Source organism: Homo sapiens, chromosome 1 (genome assembly GCF_000001405.40).
Source record: "Homo sapiens chromosome 1, GRCh38.p14 Primary Assembly".
Lineage (NCBI taxonomy): Eukaryota > Metazoa > Chordata > Mammalia > Primates > Hominidae > Homo > Homo sapiens.
In genome coordinates this window covers 32,854,999-32,875,138 of record NC_000001.11, presented here as the reverse complement: position 1 = coordinate 32,875,138, position 20,140 = coordinate 32,854,999, and the positions used below count along the sequence as shown (strand labels likewise).

At 49.5% G+C, this 20,140-nt stretch overlaps 2 protein-coding genes across 21 annotated transcripts in view, besides 2 other annotated features; one reads left to right on the top strand and one right to left on the bottom strand.

Annotated features, from left to right (window-relative positions):
• Window positions 1,603-2,459: an enhancer, noted in NCBI's record as "H3K4me1 hESC enhancer chr1:33338281-33339137 (GRCh37/hg19 assembly coordinates)". NCBI's record gives its function as "activates a minimal SCP1, AML or CMV promoter by ChIP-STARR-seq in primed H9 embryonic stem cells {active_cell/tissue: H9 hESC(primed)}" and the evidence as "EXISTENCE:reporter gene assay evidence [ECO:0000049][PMID:30033119]".
• Window positions 2,655-12,871, top strand: FNDC5 (fibronectin type III domain containing 5). 5 transcript variants are annotated; one of them, NM_001441683.1, is made up of 6 exons: window positions 4,227-4,486; window positions 6,142-6,257; window positions 6,751-6,949; window positions 7,297-7,386; window positions 10,342-10,475; window positions 10,840-12,871. In NM_001441683.1, the coding sequence occupies exons 1-6, from the start codon at window positions 4,249-4,251 to the stop codon at window positions 10,843-10,845; spliced, it is 783 nt and encodes a 260-aa protein (NP_001428612.1). In that variant the 5' UTR covers window positions 4,227-4,248; the 3' UTR covers window positions 10,846-12,871.
• Window positions 6,888-7,389: an enhancer, noted in NCBI's record as "H3K4me1 hESC enhancer chr1:33333351-33333852 (GRCh37/hg19 assembly coordinates)". NCBI's record gives its function as "activates a minimal SCP1, AML or CMV promoter by ChIP-STARR-seq in primed H9 embryonic stem cells {active_cell/tissue: H9 hESC(primed)}" and the evidence as "EXISTENCE:reporter gene assay evidence [ECO:0000049][PMID:30033119]".
• The window catches only part of S100PBP (S100P binding protein), a 42,318-nt gene continuing 38,437 nt past the window's right edge, over window positions 16,260-20,140 (bottom strand). For 14 of the 16 annotated variants that reach the window (NR_135107.1, NR_135106.1, XM_011541962.3 and 11 more), the window contains one exon: window positions 16,260-19,215. Coding sequence is in view for 14 of the 16 variants with exons in the window: in XM_011541962.3 (XP_011540264.1) it covers window positions 19,101-19,215 (115 nt within the window). In the remaining 2 variants the exon portion in view is untranslated. The remainder of the gene's footprint in view (window positions 19,216-20,140) is intronic. The other 2 variants (NM_001256121.2, NM_022753.4) reach the window with 1 other exon arrangement.

Sequence of the window (20,140 nt, the reverse complement as noted above, 5' to 3'; positions counted from 1 at the left end):
CAGAAACACTCCACTTTTCCAGACCTCAGGGCTAATGATTCCTCTTTCCCTCTGTTTCTTTCCTCTCACTTGGCTAACTTCCACCTGACTGTCAGTACTTATTAAGCTCAAGCATCACCTCTTCCCAGAAGCCCTTCCTGCTTTCCTCTCAAGTTAATTACCTTTTCTGTCCCTGTAGGCCCCAGGTGCCTCCTATTCCAGAAGGCAGTCCCCTCTTTGTATTTTAAGAGCATCTCTCTCCTCTTCCCCGGCCATGAGAACTCCCTAAGGACTAGGACCAGTCTGGTTCATCACTATGTCCTCAGCACCACCAGCACTCAGGAAATACTAAACTGGCCTGACTTCATCATTGCCATGATGGGGATTTTGAGGATTAGAGAGGCTAGATCAGTGTCTCCCAGCTGTATGACCCATGGCAAGCCCCTTCTTCTCTTCAAGCCTCAGTTTCCTCATCTGTAAAATGGGTATAATTCCAACTCCTCTGAGGATTCAAAGAGTCTTCCCTTATGTACATAATGTGTCAGCACGGGAAAAGTGTTGGGTGAGTAGGGGGTCCCTTGTCTTGGCCCTGGGATTAGCAACTGCCTCTGTGAGCAATAAGTCCCCTTGAGCCCTTCAGGGAAGGAGATTGATGTGATGTCCTCTGGTGAGCCCTGAGCCCTGGATCCTTGTCCTCAGAGGTCCTTAGAGGTGAGGGGATACGGTAGGCAGACTGGATCAAGCCCTCAACTTGCAGCCGCATAATTTAATTTGAGACATGTCTCTATAGTTCACTGGCTGTGTGACACAGGGCAAGTCCCCTTACCTCTCTGATCCTCAGCTTCCTGATATGGAATGGAAGTTAATGACACATACCAGCCTAAGACTCAAAATAACATGGATAAAGTCCGGGCGCGGTGGCTCACGCCTGTAATCCCAGCACTTTAGGAGGCTGAGGTGGGTGGATCACCTGAGATCAGGAGTTCGAGACCAGCCTGGCCAACATGATGAAACCCCGTCTCTACTAAAAATAAAAAAATTAGCCAGGCATGGTGGTGGGCACCTGTAGTCCCAGCTACTCAGGAGGCTGAGGCAGGACAATCACTTGAACCTGGGGAGCAGAGATTGCAGCAAGCCAAGATCACGCCACTGCACTCCAGCCTGGGCAAAAGAATGAAACTCCGTCTCAAAATAAAATAAAACAATAACATGGATAAAGTAGGTGCTCAATTATTATATCCCCAAAGCAACTCCTGACCTCCTGATTCTTCCTGTGATTTGCAGGGCGGGTGAGGGGTGTCTAGTGACCATCCTTGACTGGGGCCATGACCATCCTAGGCTATAAAAAGGAAACTTCCTATTCTAAATGGGTACCCGGGGCTGGCTTGGGCACCTGCAGCCTGAGTTAGGTGCTGAGACTCTGGACACGCAGGAGGGTCCAAATGCTGGTGACCCCATTAGGTGTCAATGTGTAAGTGACCGGCCAGCCCTCAAGGGGGTCTCTGTGGAGTCCTCCAAATGAAGCCCAGTGAGTGCAGCTTGGGAGGACAGAGGCGCACCCTTAGTCCCTACCCAGGTCCTCATGGTTTCACTCATTCTTTCACTGCTGTGTTTCCAGAATATTACACAGGGCCTGGTCCATAATAGGTGCTCAATAAACATATGATGGAAGAATGATTTTTTTTCCATACAGTCAACAATCATTTAATGAGCCCCAACTGCATCGTAAGCCTTGCGCTAAGGGATGGGGTACATAAAGTGGCTGGGTTTTTTTGAGATGGAGTCTTTCTCTGTCACCCAGGCTGGAATGCAGTGGTGTGCTCAGCTCACTGAAACCTCTGCATCCCAGGTTCAAATGATTCTCATGCCTCAGCCTCCAGAGTAGCTGGGATTACAGGCACACACCACCATGCCCGGCTAATTTTGTATTTTTAGTAGAGACGGGGTTTCACCATGTTGGCCAGGCTGGTCTCGAACTCCTGACCTCAGGTGATCCACCCACCTCGGACTCCCACAGTGCTGGGATTACAGGCGTGAGCCAGCGCCCTGGCCTGCAGTGGCTGCTTCTGACAGCTCCCTCCCAAGTTCACCCAGGGCTCCACTAAATCCTCCCAGCCAGCTCTCACTGGCTGCCAGATTCCAGGCACCAGGGCTTTCCCCAGAATTAAGGCCCAAGCACCCCATGCATCATGAGGACTGAGAAGGCTGTACCCCCACAGTCACAACTCTCCAAATCCTCCAAGCCCCCTCCTTCAGCCGCCTTCTCTCTCAAGCCCTCAGGCACTGCCATCTCCTCCCTCCCAATGCCCTACATCTATCTAGGTTTTACCCAAAGAGGCCAGCAGATGGCGCCAAGGTTCCCCTTTCCCCAGCGCTGGACTGGAGGCCAAGACCCCACCAGGACCCTCCCTCCTTTTCTCCCCTGCAGGGACGGGAGTAGATTCTGTGTCCTCTAACTGAACCCTCTCCTTCCTGCTGGTTCCTGTGCTGGAGGCCTGAAGAGGCTCCAGTTGCTCCTGCGGGCCTCCTGGTTGTCTTCCTGTCTGATGGATGGGGGGTGGGGGGTCCCTAGGGGCTAAGCTGCAGCTGGTGGGGCGGGGCCGGGTGGGGTGGGGCAGGCAGCAGCTGCGGGGAGAAAGAGAGAGAAGATAATAAGGGGAGAGAAAGAGAAAGAGAGCAAAGAGAAAAGAGAGAGAGAGGTGCTCTGGCTCCGGGGCTCTTCTCCCAAACGGGTCGAGGTCCCAGCTGAGGCTCTCCCAGGACAAGGTATGTGGCGGGGGAAATGATAGGGCTGGGCAGTGTCACCCTGCCGAGTGGGGCAGGTCTGGGGGCACTGAGGGGATGGGCAGGAAAATTCTGCTGCTCAACAAGAGCCCCTAAGCTCGCTTCCATCTCACCCCTTCCAAGGTGACCAAGGAGGAACACAGGGCCAGCGAAGGAGTCCTGGGTGGGCATAAGGAGAGGAGGGTTGTCTATCGCTCCTCTTGACCCACTGTGTGAATCTGCACCAAGCTCTTCCCATCGGTAGACCTCACTTCCTTAATGTAAAACCAGGGGGATGGAGAGGAAGACCCTGAAGACGTTTCTGTGGCAGAACTTTGCAAGACGTCTCCTTTCCAAAGAAAATTAGCCCTTCCAGGGCTTCTGGAAAACCTTTAAGACCCAAAGGAATGCCCCGCTAGTAGTGGAATTTCGGATAGTCGTGGGAGGGGGCTCAGGGGTTCTTGCTGAGACAAAAGGCCCTGAGCCCTGGTCCATGCCTCTCTCCTCCACCTTGTTTCTCTGGCTGAGATGAGGGAAGGGGGCTGGAGCCACTCCCCTTCTCAGAGATGCTCTTAGAGATTGCTGCAGACTGTTTTCTGGCTGGGGAGGAGCTGGCCCCGGCCAATTCTAGAGTCTCACGAATCTCCGGATGGGTGAAGTCACTCTGGGTGGGGAGACAGTTCAGTTAAGCACAGCTTTGGGAGTCAGATCAGCCTGTGTTCAAATCCTGGCTCTGCTGCGGGTCCCTGGACAAGTCAAGTAGCCTGTCCAAGCTGCAGGCTCCTCCTGTGCAAAGTGTGCAGAGTATGACTTTACAGGGTTGCCCTGAGAATTAAGCCACATAATGCAAAGAAAGCTCAGCATAGTATCTGGCCCCTGGTAGACGCTCATTACTGCCCTCACTATGGGGATGAAAATGAAGGAAAAGGACTGGCCTGGGGTCACAGAGCTGGACTCTCCAGTGAGACAGAGCAGCCTCTTCCCAACCCCACTGGAAACACGGAGCCCTAGTGTCCACTTAGCACTCTCTGCTCACCCCAGCCTTACTGTGATCTCTCCCCTCTGCTCCCGTCTGCCCCAGCCGCAAGGCCTCGGGTCTACCGTGGAATGAGGGGATCCCTAGGCCCAGGGAAGGGAGGCGCGCTTAGGGGTGGGGGCACAAACGGGCATCTCGGTGGCACTTGTCCTCTCTCTACCCTGGGAAAGGGCAGAAAGCGGCAGCCAAGTCAGGGCTGTGCACGGGAGAGAGAGTGACCGCGGCGGGGGCGCGGAGAACCCCGCTGGGCTCCCGCTCGGTGAGAGGGCGGGAGCCGTGGGTCCGCGAAGCCCCTTCCTCCCCGGCAGAGGACCTAATAGGCAGCGGGGGCGGGAGTGGGGGCGCCCTCCGGTCCTCACCCCGCCCCCGCACCTCTCCCCGCAGCGGGGGCGCCCCGCCCCCCGGGCGCCCGACGTGGACGCGGCCGCCGCCACCGCCGCCGCGCGGGAGTCGCTGTCCGCGGAGCCGACATGCAGGCGGCTCGGGGCGGCGCAGGGCGGCCGGAGCGGCCGGGCCGGCCGGGCCGGGGGCCGGAGCGCGAGCGCGAGCGGCCGCCGGGCGCCGGAGCCGCGTCCCCCTGCGCCGCCCCGGGCCTGCCGGCCGGAGGAGCCACCATACACCCCGGGTCGCCGAGCGCCTGGCCGCCCCGCGCCCGCGCCGCGCTCCGCCTGTGGCTGGGCTGCGTCTGCTTCGCGCTGGTGCAGGCGGGTAAGGGGGCCCGGGGCGGGGGGCCGGCGCCGGGGCAGGCTCCTCTCGAGCCCAGCTACCTGGGAGTCCCCTGGTCCTTTCTCTGCCCCCTAGGGACTCCTGTCTCGGCCCAAACACTGCTCCCCTAACCCAGCCCCCAGCGTCTTCCTACCTCCTTGACCCCCAGACCTGTCCTTCAGTTTCCAAATCTCCCCTGTCACCTCAGCCCTGGGTTTCCTAGGGTCTTGTGGTCCCCAGTCCCCTAATCCCATTCCCCTAACCCCAGGTCTTTGCCTCAGCTTCCCTAGCTCCCTTCTTTGACCCAGGGAGCAGCTGAGGACACCAGTTCCCCCACCTGGGCCTCTCTCTGTGTCCCCAGGACCTCTCAAAGCCCTGCAAGCCAACTCTGCAGGGGCAGATGGGGTCCCGCTGTGCAGGAGCACGTGTGAAGGGGATGGGGGCTGGCACCTGAGGGCGCAGGGCGTGGGGTGGGCCCCGGCACCCCTGATCTGGTACAGTGTCTGGCCTGCCCCATGGGGCCGGCCCGTCCTTGCCCAGCCTCTCCTGCCACTCTGTCTTTGTCCCTCCTGGCTGCCGCTGCCCGGCTCATCTCTCCCTCCGTGGCTCGGGGAGCGCTCTCTCGCAGCTGTCTTTCTCAGATGCCCCACTTCTCTGTCCTCTGGTTCTGTGTCTGCCACCACCTGTCTGTGTCCTGTCTCTCCACCTCCCCCTCCATGTCTGGCTCTGTCTCCCTCAGGTCCCAGGCCCAGCCCCCTGGGTCTCAAGTTCACTCTCTGTGGGGTGAGGGGTGCTGCTCAGGCGCAGCTCTGCCCCGTGCTGCACCTGCCCCTTGGAAGATACTGAGCCTTATGTGACTGCACTGCCCCTCTCCTGGACGGTTTTCCTCACTGACCCCCACTATCCCTATCACTCTCACCCCCACTTCCCTCCTGTCTCTTCTGGAGTGATTCCTCATTCATCCTCTTCCCCTACCTGTTCTCTCCTCTCCACTCGCCATGGAGGGGCCCTGCTCTGAGTGACCCCATCTTCCCCTGCCACCTCCCCACCTGCATCTTGGGGCTGGAAGAGCATGGATAAGAGGCTCACACAGACTCTTCCGCAGGCTTTATTCTGCCTGGGCCACCACAGCTCTGAGGATACTTCTGTTCTCCTCACTCCCAGTCCAGGGCTCACCCCAGCCTGACACTTCTCGATCTCTGGGTCTTTCTCCTTCGCGCAAGGTCACTCATTGGACAGGGCAGTATTGTCAAAAGAGCACTGGACTGGGGAGTCCTTTTGTCTGCTTTTCATCAGCTAACCTTCAGTTTCTGTCCACCTATGTCCCCTACATAACTCTCTCCACAACTCTAACCACCCATCCCTTAGATAGGGCCCCGGCCCAGGCCCATCACTTTGAGCCTTGGACCCCTCATGGGGCCGGCCTGTGGCCAGCAGGGGCTTCCGTCCCAGTCATGAGGAGCCTGGGGCCTCTTGGGCTTGGTTCTTCAACCCACTGAAGAGCTGAGAGCCATGTCACTGGACCCCACTTGAGGCCTTAGTTTCTTCCTTCCCCTCCTGCATGGCCTTCCCCAGGTTTCCCCTTCTTACTTATGAGACAGTGGGTCTGGGCCTCACAATAGGGGATGCTCAGGCTTAGGTGCCTCCCCGTCCCCCAGACAGTCCCTCAGCCCCAGTGAACGTCACCGTCAGGCACCTCAAGGCCAACTCTGCAGTGGTGAGCTGGGATGTTCTGGAGGATGAGGTTGTCATCGGATTTGCCATCTCCCAGCAGGTAATGCTCCACTGTCCTTAGGAGGGAAGGACACATCAAGACAGTAGTGGCAGATGGGGGTAGGAGTGTGGCAGTGGTGGTGATGGAGAAATAGAAAGGAAATAGGAACTTGGGGCAAGGGAGATGAACAGCAATTTGGACATATGTCTGAAAATTGGGGCCCCATTCAGACATATGTCTGAAAATTCTCTAGAAGAGAATCAGTCAGTGAGGGAGGGTTTGGGAACTTTCAAGTGGAACACAGAAATTAAGGTTTTGATCTCAGAGACATCTGCATTTAGGACCTAGCTCCAGTGCTTACTAGATGTGTGGCCTTGGGCAACTTCCCCAACCTCTCTGAACCTGTTTCCTTCCCTGTAAAATGGAGATATTGATAGCGGAGGTGATGGAATGATGAAGATTGTGTATGTAAAGGCTTTGTCACCACTGGGAGGTGGGCAGGAGCGGGGCTGGTCACCGAGTGTTGACAGCAGTGACCGGCGCTTGTCTGCAGAAGAAGGATGTGCGGATGCTGCGCTTCATCCAGGAGGTGAACACCACCACCCGCTCATGTGCCCTCTGGGACCTGGAGGAGGATACGGAGTACATAGTCCACGTGCAGGCCATCTCCATTCAGGGCCAGAGCCCAGCCAGCGAGCCTGTGCTCTTCAAGACCCCGCGTGAGGCTGAGAAGATGGCCTCCAAGAACAAAGGCAGGCCCGGGTCACTGTTAAGAGGAATGGGGTGGGGTGAGGGGTGGTCAGGACCAGACCAGTGGGTGGCTTGAGGAAAGCTCTGTCTCCTCCCCCTTATCCCCTGCTGGCAAGTAAAGCAGTACCTGAGAGAGGGTTCACGCTAGTCCCTGACAAGACGCTGAGCATATAAACTCCCTTTAGACTTGGTCCTATCACTGCCACCCCAAGTAGCCATCAGTGCATTCTAGAATGTATGTTAGATGTGTGGGCACCTGTAGAAATCAGCACTGTTGTCTTGGGCTTGGCCCTAGAGGAGTGGCTGAGGGAGGAAAGGAGTGCTGGATCTAGTGTCTCTCTCCCTGCAGATGAGGTAACCATGAAAGAGATGGGGAGGAACCAACAGCTGCGGACAGGCGAGGTGCTGATCATCGTCGTGGTCCTGTTCATGTGGGCAGGTGAGTCTGGCCTCCGAGACCTTCTTCTTCCCTCAGATTCTGGGAAATGGAGGACTCTGACCAGCCCCTTCTCTCATGAAAAAAAGGGTAAGGGGTTTGGACATCTCTAAGGTGAAAAGTCTCCAAGTCCTGCCAACGACAGTTCTGGGAAACAGATCTGACCCCTTCTCTACCTCACTCTTCACCAAAAAACCAGCATATTGTTAGCTGCCTTATAGGATTAGATGAGTACTTGCCTTCGCCCTCCCTCAGAAGAGGTTCAGCTTCTTGGGGCTGGACACTTCCACAGGCCTTTTACCTCTGGTCATGGCCACAGCCTTTTTTTCTTCTGGGGTGCTGTGCCTCCAGGGGTCCAGGCCTGGGAAGCTCAGGGGAAGTCACTGCCTGGCCTGGGGACATTCTCCTAACCTACTCACCCTTCTAGACCCAGCCACCATGGCTGTGAGACAGCCACCGTGAAAACTCCCTCAATCCATCCATTAGAATGGCCCTCCTGCTTCCACACCCCCACCGCATACTGTTCACTCCTCTCTTTAGCCCTTCTTTAACCCTCTCTTTAGCCCTTGTGTTAGTTCGTTCGGCTCATGTCTCTCCTTTACCTGTGGTCTGTGAGCTCCCTGAGAATGAAGACCAAGTTTTTTTTTGTTTGTTTTGTTTTTTGAGACAAAGGTTTTGTTTTTTGAGACCCAGGTTGGAGTGCAGTGGTGCAATCATAGCTCACTGCAGCCTTGACCTCCTGGGCTCAAGTGATCCTCATGCCTTAGCCTCCTGAGTAGCTGAGACTACAGACATGTGCCACCATGCCTGGCTAATTTTTTATTTTTTGTAGAGATAGGGTCTTGCTATGTTGTCCAGGCTGGTAAAGGCCAAGTTTCATTCATCTTTGTACTCAATTCAACCAGCATTTACTGAACAATCACTCCAGCCCAAACAGTAGTGCTACAATCATGACTAAGAAGACCCCTCTGCTTGCAAAGAACTATCTGGGCGAAGCCAGGCCCAAACTTTTCTTTTTTCTTTTCGTTTACTCTTCTTTTTTCTTTTTCATTTTCTTGGGCTGAACTTAAACTATAATCCAGTGTGATGAGTGCTATGATAGTACCATGTAGGAGAGCAGAGGAGAGGGAATAACTGTGGGTTAGAAATCAGGAAAAACACAGAGAGGAGATAACATGGGAATTGAGCTTTGAAGGATAAATAGGAGTTCACCAAGCAGCCAAAAGAGGAATAGTGTTCAGGGCATGGTGTGTTCAAGAAACAAAGTAAGCTCAGTCTGGTTCAGGGCAGCTGCAATCCAAGAAAGAAGGTAGAACGTGGGGGAGTAAAGGATGGTGAGGCTGCAGACTGGAGTCTTTTGAGGGATTTGAATACCATGCTAAAGCTTTATTACCATGGTGGTTGAGAAAGGCAGGCTGTATTGTAGAAGCATTTGGGAAAAAAATGCTCCTTAGGCACACAGAAAAACAGGCACTTGGAAAAATGAGGGAAAAACAAAGGGTTGTACAAAAGAGGAGGTTTGCTTATGGTGCGTTATTAGATTTGGCACAGACAGTATTTATATAATCATAACAATATAAACATAGCGAATTAACCCAAAATTGTGATGTAATTTTGTTAGGATAATAGGGAGGGAAGTAGAGGAAGTTGTTATGCTTTATCTACCATGTTTGGAAGTCAACAGACTTCTAAAATAGATCAAGAAATAACATTCTAAATATAGAGGTAAAATTGGGAAAACACCTAGAAGGACTGGAGTTGGCTGCCTTAATACTGTCTGACTTTTAAAAAACATTCTGTTCATGTATTATTAGTTTGATAAAACTAAACATTTAACAGACTGCAGGCCCTGGAGTTCATGTCCTAGTTCCACCACTGTGTGACCTTGAGTTAAGTTAGTGAAACTCTCTCTGCATCAGTGTCCTCACTTGTACCCTGGGAATTATAATAATAGGTATCCTCACAGAGTTGTGAGGATTAAGTGAGATAGAATATGTCAGTGCACAGCACAGGGCCTGGCACGAGCTCAACAAATGCTATTATTGTTTCTATTTTCCCCTCAAGGAAAACAGGAGCTGTCAGAGGTTTTTTTGTTTGTTTTTCTTTGAGACAGAGTCTCTCTCTGTTGCCCAGGCTGGAGTGCAGTGGCCTGATCTCAGCTCACTGCAACCTCTGCCTCCCAGGTTCAAGCTATTCTCCTGCCTCAGCCTCCTGAGTAGCTGGGATTATAGGCACCTGCCACCACGCCCAGCTAATTTTTGTATTTTTAGTAGACAGGGTTTCACCATGTTGGCCAGGCTGGTCTCTATTTCCTGACCTCGTGATCCACCCATGTTGGCCTCCCAAAGTGCTGGGATTGCCGGGCATGGTGGCTCATACCTGTAATCCCAGCACTTTGGGAGGCCAATGTGGGCGGATCACCTGAGGTCGGGAGTTCGAGACCAGCCTGACCAACATGGAGAAACCCCGTCTCTACTAAAAATACAAAATTAGCCGGACGTGGTGGCGCATACCTGTAATCCCAGCTACTCGGGAGGCTGAGGCAGGAGAATCACTTGAACCTGGGAGGCAGAGGTTGCAGTGAACCGAGATCGCGCCATTGCACTCCAGCCTGGGCAACAAGAGCGAAACTCCATCTCAAAACAACAAAAAAACAAAACCAAAGTGCTGGAATTAACAGGCGTGAGCCACCGTGCCTGGCCACTGTCAGAGGTTTAAAGGAAAGGAGAGGAGGAGGTATGATCAGACGCATATTGTAGGAAGATCAGCCTAGCAGCAGTGAAGGGGTGGTTGGTGAGGGCACAGGTGAAAACAGGAGCCAGAGGGCAGAGGGAGGGTGCTGCAGTAGTACAGGTGAGGTACAATCTGGAGAGACCATTGGCAAGCACTAGTGGGAAAGAAGCAGGGGAGGCAGGAACCCAGGCTCTGGCCTCTGACTGCTCACTTGTCCCCCCTCAGGTGTCATTGCCCTCTTCTGCCGCCAGTATGACATCATCAAGGACAATGAACCCAATAACAACAAGGAAAAAACCAAGAGTGCATCAGAAACCAGCACACCAGAGCACCAGGGCGGGGGGCTTCTCCGCAGCAAGGTGAGGGCAAGACCTGGGCCTGGGTGGGCCACCCTGTGCCTCATGCTCTGGTAATCCCTGGACTGCAGAGGGGGTCAGCTCGGGGACTGGCATGGCGACAGCTGGGCAGAGCCAGACTTGGCTGCTGCCTGTGTGACACAGGGACACTGCAAGTTGATTTTGGATCCTCTCCTTTTGCAGGGTGCCAGGGGCCAGTGGTGATTTGAAGAAAAAAAAAAAAAAGCAGTGAGTGGGGAGGGCAGAATTCTTGGTTGGCGCGGGACAATAGGAGTGGGGTGTCTGGCCCATTCCTGCTCCTGCTGTGCCTTGTGACCTTGGGCAGGTGCTTTACCGCTGTACCTTCATTTCCTCTTCTGTAAAACAGATATGAAAACCTTTTCAGTGCTTGCCCTCAGCAGCTAAGAAGACAGACAGTAGAGAATGTGAGAGGATCTCATGGTTCTGATGATGATTATCCAACAAACATCTGGCCCTCTCTACATCTCTTCCCTCCATCTCCTTGTACCCTCTGGCTTACTGTCCTCTCTCTGGCGCACTTTCCTGAAGCCTCTTATTAACTCCCATCTCCAGAAGCACCTCAACAATGTCAGTGGCTGAGGCTGCACTCAGAGGGATGACTGCTGGGGGTAGACTGGGTGCCAGGGGCCATGGGCCCAGGACCCAGTCTTGGCCATTCAGTTGAGTGAGGCTGAAGGCTGGGTTTGAAAAGGCAAAAAGACAAGACATCCAGGCAGGGCTTCTCTTTTCTTTCCACAAGGGACAAGAGCTTGGCTTATTTAGGCTACAGCCCTGCTGCTGCTCCCTTCCTTCTTCTGTCCTGTTTCCAGCCTTGCAAGAAGGCTATTCACAATTAGGCCTGGCTGCTTCTCTCATTTTTTTCCTCCCAGTTTCCAAACAAGCCCTCAGTGAACATCATTGAAGCGTGACTGCCTGTCTGCAGGGAGAAGGATTCCATTTTTCTTCTCAGCTGGTCCCCAGGCCCACGGGCACAGGGAGAGGGACAACTGCAGCAGTGGGGAGGAGGCACAGCTAGCTGCACAGTTCTCTCTTCTCCTTGTCCTAGTCAGATGAAGGAGGCTGCACTACAAACCCAAATTCTGCAAAAAAATAAAAATAAGCCACAAAACTAAAAGGCCTGGCCCCATTCTGGAAAAGGCAAAGCTGCATGAGACACAGCCTTCTGCCTCCTCGCCTCTCCTGGACTGGCTTCCTCTTTGAGAAAATGCACAAAGCCCTGGGAGATGACAAGCACAAGGACTGACTCAAGCTGTGTCTTTCAGACCAAGGAACATCAGAGAAGCTGTGGGGCTGCCTGCCAGGCAGGATCATGGCTGCCATCAAGCCTTTTCTGGATCCAGCCATCAAGGACATGTTTGTGGTGTGATGCACACTTTTGCAAGCGTGTAAGATGTTACCTGGTTTGTCTCTTTTGGAAAACAAAAATCAGAAGGCTGCATTCTAGAGGGCAGAGAAATTCCCCCGAAGACTGAGCTGGTTGCCTGCATCCTCTATCTTCTTTGACCCTTATGACTGAAAGATCATCAGTTTGGAAGGTACTGGTCCAATTTATTTAGGAAGTATCTCTTGGAGTTTCAGAAATGCTAGCTTGGACAACTGAAAAGTCACATCACAGCTGGCATTCTGGGGGCTACCAAAACACCCCTTCTGGAGTAGAAGCTGCTGGAAGGCAGGCCTGAGCCATTCACCACGGACAGGAAGAGCAGCTCTGGCTATCACCACTGGCCTCTGGGGTCTTCATATCTTGCCATCTCATCCAGGGTTCCATGAAAGTTACCCAGGGTCCTCATGTCCTTCCTTAGAGCCTGAGTGGTGTGAGGTGACAGGTCTCTCTCTCCACTGCCCCTTTCTGGTTTAAAAAAATGGTGCTTGATGAGGGAAGGTAGACTCTTCCCTAGGACTGACGAGTTACGGCTGCCAGATGCCTGCATGGGAAGAGGTGGACATCTGCATCTTCCATTGGTGGTCAAGGATGGGTGTGGGAGAACCACACCTAGTGCAAGCCTGGTACTCAGTAAATATTTGTTGAAATGAATGATAAGAGCATTGGTCCCCAAGCCAGAGAGCCAGAAGCCATCACCCAATGACCGCCCCTTCCTTCCGGTCTACAAGAGCTCTCAAGGCTGGGTCTGCCACCACTCTGCTTTGCCCAAGTGTGACAGCACTGGGGAGGAGAGACAGGATAAAGGGCAGATGTCAGCAATACTAAGGGCTTCCTCATGGGAGGGCATGAGGCTCCACTCATTGTCTTGTGACTTCCATCCCTGCTGAATGGGGCTGCAAGGCCAAGGCTCCTTAGGGGAGAGGTCCTTACCTCTGATCCACTTAGAGCAATAACCACTTTTTAAATGTAAAATAAAAAGACAAATGAAAAGGCACATCCTTGTCTTCTGGTAAATGCCCAAATGTTGCCCTCTTTTTCTGGCAATTGGCAGCAAGTCAGGATGTGTGGAGGAGGGAGTCAGTTTCTCTCCATTTTGGCCTGCAGCTTCTTAGGGACATGCCTGCCAGCCAAGCTGGAGTTGGAAGGGAAATCTCAAACAGATGGGGGTGCACGTGTAGGAGAAGAAAATAGCTGCTCCATCATCCTATTACTGAGGCTCCCCCAAACCAAGCTTGGGCTGCCTCACTAGATAGGTATGCAGGCTGGTACTTAGTTTTTAAAACAAAGGGTTTTCCCCTCTGGATGGGGCTGGGTGCTTTTCCTGGCCAAAGGAATACAATTCTTGTTTCTCCCCAGGGTAAGGAAGGAAGTGAAGGGGAACAGCAAAAGCTGCTTTCTGCAGCTCAGTATTCACAGCGTGCTGTTCTAGGCTGTTAAAGGAACACCATTATGATCCCAACAGTAGGCTGAAAGAGTAATGATGACATTAGCCAAGGAGCAAAAACCAGTAAATGGGGTACCTCGAACATTCCTGTCCAGAGCCAGGAAGAAGCTTGGAGAGAAAATGTCCGGTGAGCAGGGCTTAGAGTTGACTGCTGTAGGTTTTGAAAGCAGAGGGAAAGAAGGTTTAGAGGCTGCACAGCAAAGTAGGAAACTTGAGTTGCACACCGACTCTAAGCCAAACCTCAGAGAGGTACTTCCTAGGCCCTCTGTACCCATCTAGTGCCAAATGATGGAAAAGCCCCCAAATCAGCACTAGGTATAGTATAGTCAGTGGGGCTCAGGGAGCTCTGCTAATGGGGGTTTCCAGTCTTCAACTTAATCTGTGCCTGTGGTACATCATAAAGGGTATGAGAGAAAAGGAGGTAACACTCTTGGCTTAGATAAAACTCCATTCCCTTTAATTACCTCCCTAAACTCCCAATTGTATAACAATTGAGCCTTCCCTGAATCCACTGTAGTTGCAAAGTCGAACCCTACACAGCTAGACTTGGGATGTGATCCTTTCACCACCATCACATAGATCCATGGACATTTTCTCACAACTGTGGAAAGGCACAGGCAGGTCTTTGAGACCAAGAGACCTCACTTGGAGACTACCACAGGCCTGTGGGAGAAATGCTGGTCTGAGAGACAGGAGACCCTGCCTTGTAATCACCTAACACCTCAGGCAAGTTAATTCTCTGAGGTTAGGTCGTGGTGTCCTTATCTGCCAAAAACAGAATTTAGAAGATTCCCAGACTCTACCTACTTCCTACAATAGGAGCCAAGGTGCATCCTCCTAGGAGCACGAGGGAAACCTCAGGGTCTGAGGGAAGGAAGACAGACTGGTGAGTGTTTCTATGAGGCAAGAGTCCTTTTCTCCTCCTACTCTTGTCCCCTAGTTTTTCAGAATGGGCCTTCTCAAGAATGCATTTTTAAGAGTTTTGGTTCAACCCTTTACAAAAATGTGCAAAATCTCACCAACCCATTAACATGAGCTTTAGATTTCTGACTCTCTTTAAACCTATTTGATGGTTACTGGAATGTGCATTTAAGTAGCCTCCAAGAACAAATTGCTTCTATAAATGGGACACCCTGCTCACCCTCCTCCCTTGCCCAGCTCCATCAAGCTCCATCCATACAAAATATTACCAAACCTTCAAATGTGACTTGAAGTTAAGTTGAAGGAAAACTGTACACAAATAGTTCCTAACCAGGTGCAGTGGCTCACGCCTATAACCCCAACACTTTGGGAGGCCAAGGTGGGGCAGATCACTTGAGGCCAGGAGTTCAAGACCAGCCTGGCCAACATGGTGAAACCCTGTCTCTACTAAAAATACAAAAATTAACTAGGTGTGTTGGCGCACACCTGTAATCCCAGCTACTCAGGAGGCTGAGACATGAAAATCACTTGAACCCAGGAGGTAGAGGTTGCAGTGAGCCAAGATCGCGCCATTGCACTCCAGCCTGGGCAAGAGAGTGAGACGCTGTCTCAAAACAAATAGTTCCTTAGTGATATATTTCAGGACTATCACTTAGACTGCTTTAAAGGTTATCCAAAATATTATATTCCACCCCCTTTCAATGGGTGCTGGGAAGGGCCAGATTTTCCGTCTATGGCATGTCCCAGTTGTCACAGGGGGAGGACAGGTGGGGAGGAAGGACAAGGCAGGAGCCTATTCATTTAGGAATTCCACCACTGACCAGCTGATACTTCCTGTGACAAGTGGAATTTTTTTTTTTTTTTCCCTGACAGGTGCTCTGGCATACAAAGCAAGCATACACTAAAATCAGCTTAGGAATAATTGTTTTCTCTTAGAAAAGCAGAACATTACTAAGAGAAGCAGGGAACTCCACTTTCTAGCTTTAGGTGGTTGGGTTTTTTCTTCCTATAAAAGCTCAAAATAGGCTAATTAGAGAATGACCCCCTTCCTCTTGGAGAAGGTCCATCTCTCCTTTTCCTCTTCACTTTTCCGTAATGTAAAATGGACAAAAGATCCTATCTACACCTGATAGGAACAAAACAGATATGCATAGGTTAAGGAGAGTGCCTCAGATTGAGACAAGAATGTCAAGTTGCTGAGTACTTAGCAAACTTATATTGAGTCTTTTGCATGGACTCAATATTATATTTTGTCTAGAATTTATAGACAAAACTTATAGCACAGCAGGCCAGATAGCATGGCTAAACATGTTGCTACTTGTTTTCTCAGCATGAACTCAGATTTTTAAAGCACTGGCTAATATAGGTGACAAGTTATTATTGCCTTCCCTTTTTTCCTTGCTTCTGGGGGTAAGTCTAAGAAGCTTTGGTTCACGAAAGGGATCTAAGGAACACTGTGTCTCCCACATCTACCCACGCTTATCCAACCTTCACCCAGTTTTTAGAAGCCGCAGTTTCTGGAGAAACTGGGTTATGAACAACCATCAATTCTGTACCACTGATTCTGGTTTCTTACATCCCCTTCAAAGAGAGAATGCTCTTGGATAGCATGGCTTCTTCCACAATCAATGCTAGCTCTGGAGAAGCAGAGATAGGGAGGCCAATCACACAGCCATGGGAAGGAATAAAAGGCAATGCCTGCCTGATCACGGCTGAGCCATCTTCCCCCTCTGCAAAAACTGAGGCATAATGATATTTCAGGCTCTCCCTATGTCAGGCTCCTGACATGCACCATATGTAGCTGCAAATCCCAATCAATTTCAACATTTCTTAACTGCTAGAACACCTTTCTCAACACTGTAATTTACCTTCAAAAGAATAGGGAGCAAGCACCCTCGCCTTTCCAGTACCACATTCTACTAACTGCCGCCCCCCTCCCCACCCCACTAACCTACCTACGCAAAGGAAGAAGGCAAATAACCCTCCATCGAAGCCTACGACAGACCGCCACAGTACATATGTCACTGACAAAGAACTTTTATTTCTTTTTAATGACATTAAACACAACTGCTACAAGGGAAAAAACATGATAAAGAGGAGGCACCAAACTTCAGTTTCATAATTGAAACTGACAACGCCAGTAAATCAGGGCCTGCATTCGAAACTACAGGTTATTTCAGGCTCCTTACTTGTAAGTAAACAATGTAAACAGCATATTTTTACTCTGCTTTGTCAAGACCCCCATGGTGGGAATGTCGTCATGGATGAAGAAAGCAGTTAAATGCACCTAACACTTGCTTAAAAAATAATACAGCAAGAATTCCAACTGCAATATTAGACTTAGAGGCCAATACCAAATATAAGAGATATGCAGCTTTGAAAAGAGATGAAAACTCCAGATTCTACCCAGTACCATCTTTAAGGCGAACATGCCAGATAATGAGTTTTCTTTGGCTTTGTTTTTTCTTCTTAAAGAATACCATGTTAACCACTAGAGAACAGCTCTCTCCTCCCCCAGTCCAACAGATTTAATTAAGCTGCTAAAGCTTTGGAAAAACAGAATTATTTGAGCTAAGAGGAAATGTGATTGTCACATTTTCTAGTTAACCTGTCACTCATTTGATTTGGCAAAGGCAGTGCTCCTATTACACATTCAGTCTTAAAACCCCATGTACCAGGAGGGCACGAGTCTTAGATTTTTGCCTAGGCAAAATCCTGTCCCTTCACTCCTTGGGTTTTCTGTAGGGAACTAGACTACAGTTCCCTACTGTAGCTGCAATGCTAGCTATTCCAACTACATTTAATTTTAACTATGCTATGGTCCCAAAGGTGGATGTTTGGCATGTCTCACTCCATCAACCTAATTTAGGGCAGCCTGGAGAAGTGACCGATGTAGTAAATGCCAAGTAGGCTAACTAAAATAATAGATTTCAACTACTGCCTTTGAATAGAACTTCTCCTTTGCATTTTGGCCCCAGAATTTAAAACAAATGTTCAAGGAAAAGCAAATCCTTGACTGGATAAAAACAGTAAACACTTAGGGACATTCACCTAAATTTATTGTTGGCTTAAATGACCAAGCGTTCCCCACGTCCGTTTCTAAAGTGGGGTAGGATGTTTAGAATGCATTACTCACACAGAAAGATGGGATTGATGAAATCACAAAACTAAACACAGGCTATAGCAACTATGAACAGCCTTCACAGAGAATGAACAATAGCACAAATGCCAGACTGCAACACTTCCTAAAATGATGTCTATAGCTATCTGTAAAGAGAGAATAACCGGCCAGGTGCAGTGGCTCATGCCTGTAATCCCAGCACTTTAGGAGGCCGAGGTGGGCAGATCACCTGAGGTCAGGAGTTCAAGACCAGCCTGACCAACATGGAGAAATCCTGTCTCTACTAAAAAATATGAAATTAGCCAGGCATGGTGGCGCATGCCTGTAATCACAGCTACTCAGGAGGCTAAGACAGGAGAATCCCTTGAACCCAGGAGGCGGAGGTTGTGGTGAGTGGAGATACGCCATTGCACTCCAGCCTGGGCAACAACAGCGAAACTCCGTCTCAAAAAAAAAAGAGAGAATAACCAACTCCTAAGACATCCATTAAGACAGACGCACAGTCTGTCAACTTTGGTTAGAATACCAAACCTTAAGATCAGGTAATGCTTTTGTGCATAGGCTGTCACAACTATATTACATCCACGTTAGCATCCATGTGAAACTAGGTATCAGGGGCTTGACCAAATGAGATGGTAACATCCAGGGCCTAAAGACACCTCTTGTTAACTAATATGGAGAAAAAAGAGTGCCTTTCCACACTCTCCCACAGAATGGAGGCTCCCTAACTAACACTCAAATTTGGGGTTCAGCAAATGAAACTAAATATCAACTGACACCACAATAGCACTAGCCTGCCCTAGAGTCAAGACTCTGGGTGGGCAGCTCTTCAATAAAGACAGCAAGGAGGCCATCCTGAAGAGGTATATCCACGTCTAACAGGTTACAAGAATACTGCCACTAGAATCCTAAAGAGCAGAGTGGTCACTGGGGGGTAAAAAGAAAAAGGAAAATCCTTGAAGAAAGGCAAAGGAGACAACCAGTCTCAAGACCACAAGGTATTATAAGTCTTCTGTCAAAGTAAGATGTATAAGATTTGTAAACACTATTGTGCAAAATAAGTTCAATAAGGAATGAAAAAATCCCCCCCACCCACAAAAAAAAATCAAGGCAGCTAGTACCTACAGAAGGGAGAGGAGAGGATTTACTATTTTAATTTGTCCTTTCAATAGGATTCTTCTCCTGCTCCATCCTACTTATAATGTCCTGGATTGCCAACTTTAAAATACTGACAGGTATTCAGAGGATTCAAATAAAAAAGTAAGAGGGGTTGTTAAAAGTAACTTATATCCATTCACAAGTTATCTAACACTGGCTCACAGCCTGGTAAAGAATCTCTTCCTTATGGAAGATTGAACAATGATTTCTTTGAGGTACCAGAAAGTAGACTTTGCCTCTGCAGAGAGGTGGGTCTTTTGCTTGAACCTGGGTGTTCTGGCTTAATGCTGGCTTTCAGGAGGCAGCTACCTTCAATTTAAATTAAAAAAACAAAAAAAAACTATACCAACCGAACGCTTGCTTAAACACAGACACACACACACAAAATCAGGAGGGACTTCATACAAAAAAATTCAAGTCGGCAATGGGCATTTCCAAAAGGTGACGAGTTTTTTAAATAAAAATTTTGTGAAAAATAAAATCCAAAATCGGCAAAGCACAAAACAGCAAAAGAACATGAAATGCTGCTCCAAGCAGGACCCTGGATAGGGACCTTCATTGCTGATGGGATGACACAAATTAACTGTACGAGAAGTCTGGGAGACGCTGGAACCGATGGTGGCTTCGCATGTTCCTGTCAACCCACTGAGTCAGACTGTATCTTTGCAGATGTTTCTGTCGGCGGGCGTAGTTTCTATCGAGAGAGGGAGAGTACAAACAGGAAGGCTATTTCAACTAGAATGGCTATTTGTACACAAAAAAAGGCCAGCACAACAATTTTAAGAAGATCTTTACTTTTGGAAATCAGATATTAATTTTATATTTCAATTCTCACAATTTTAGAAATTTTATACTATTTCATTTATATGAACACCACACCGTAAGTGCTATTTCTTTCCAACTCCCAAAGCCACCTAATTCCCATAGGTATTATGGTGATATGTGCCATATACACAATATTCTAAGGAAAACTAATGTAGAATAATGTTTAAGTAGGGGAGAAAAAAAAAACCATTTTATTCCTCCAGAAGAATTTAGGATAGGATCTATATTTTATTGTTTGCATCACACCTGTACCTCCAAAAGGACCTCATTGTCTGACACAGCTCAAGGTTGCTCAGGACACAGCAGTTAAAATTAGAATAAATTCCCAGAAAGGTAAGTCATCATGTGAGTTTAGAGACTGAAAAATTAACAGCACAGACTCACAGTAAAATTTCTTAAAAGTCTCATTTAGTTATGTGCTGGGCTGCAGTTCTGAGCAAGACGCTCTGAGATAATCTGATCCCATTTTTGACTCTGAAAGTGCTCCTAATAATCTAGGAAGCTTTCTGAAGATACGCATTCTAAAATTTAAAAAAAGAAAAAGAAAAAACAAATACAGATATGGATTCTTGGCCTCTCCCTCCTCCCAGACTTAATGACTTAGAATACCTGGAATCAGGATACAAACATCTGTATTTTTAGATATCTCCACAGGTAATTATGAGTAGTCGCCAGGGTTGAAAATAACTGTAACAGTACCTGACATTTATCTATCCCTATATGCAAGTACTTGCTGAATTCTTTAAATACCTCTCCTCACTTAATACTGTGACAATCCTACTAGTATTTTCATT

Excerpts from the sequence above, each read along its gene's own strand:
- FNDC5 (NM_001441683.1), top strand. The coding sequence starts at position 4,249 with ATGCAGGCGGCTCGGGGCGGCGCAGGGCGGCCGGAGCGGCCGGGCCGG. Across the intron at positions 6,258-6,750 it reads GATTTGCCATCTCCCAGCAG|AAGAAGGATGTGCGGATGCT; the intron begins GTAATGCTCCAC and ends GCTTGTCTGCAG. Across the intron at positions 7,387-10,341 it reads GGTCCTGTTCATGTGGGCAG|GTGTCATTGCCCTCTTCTGC; the intron begins GTGAGTCTGGCC and ends GTCCCCCCTCAG.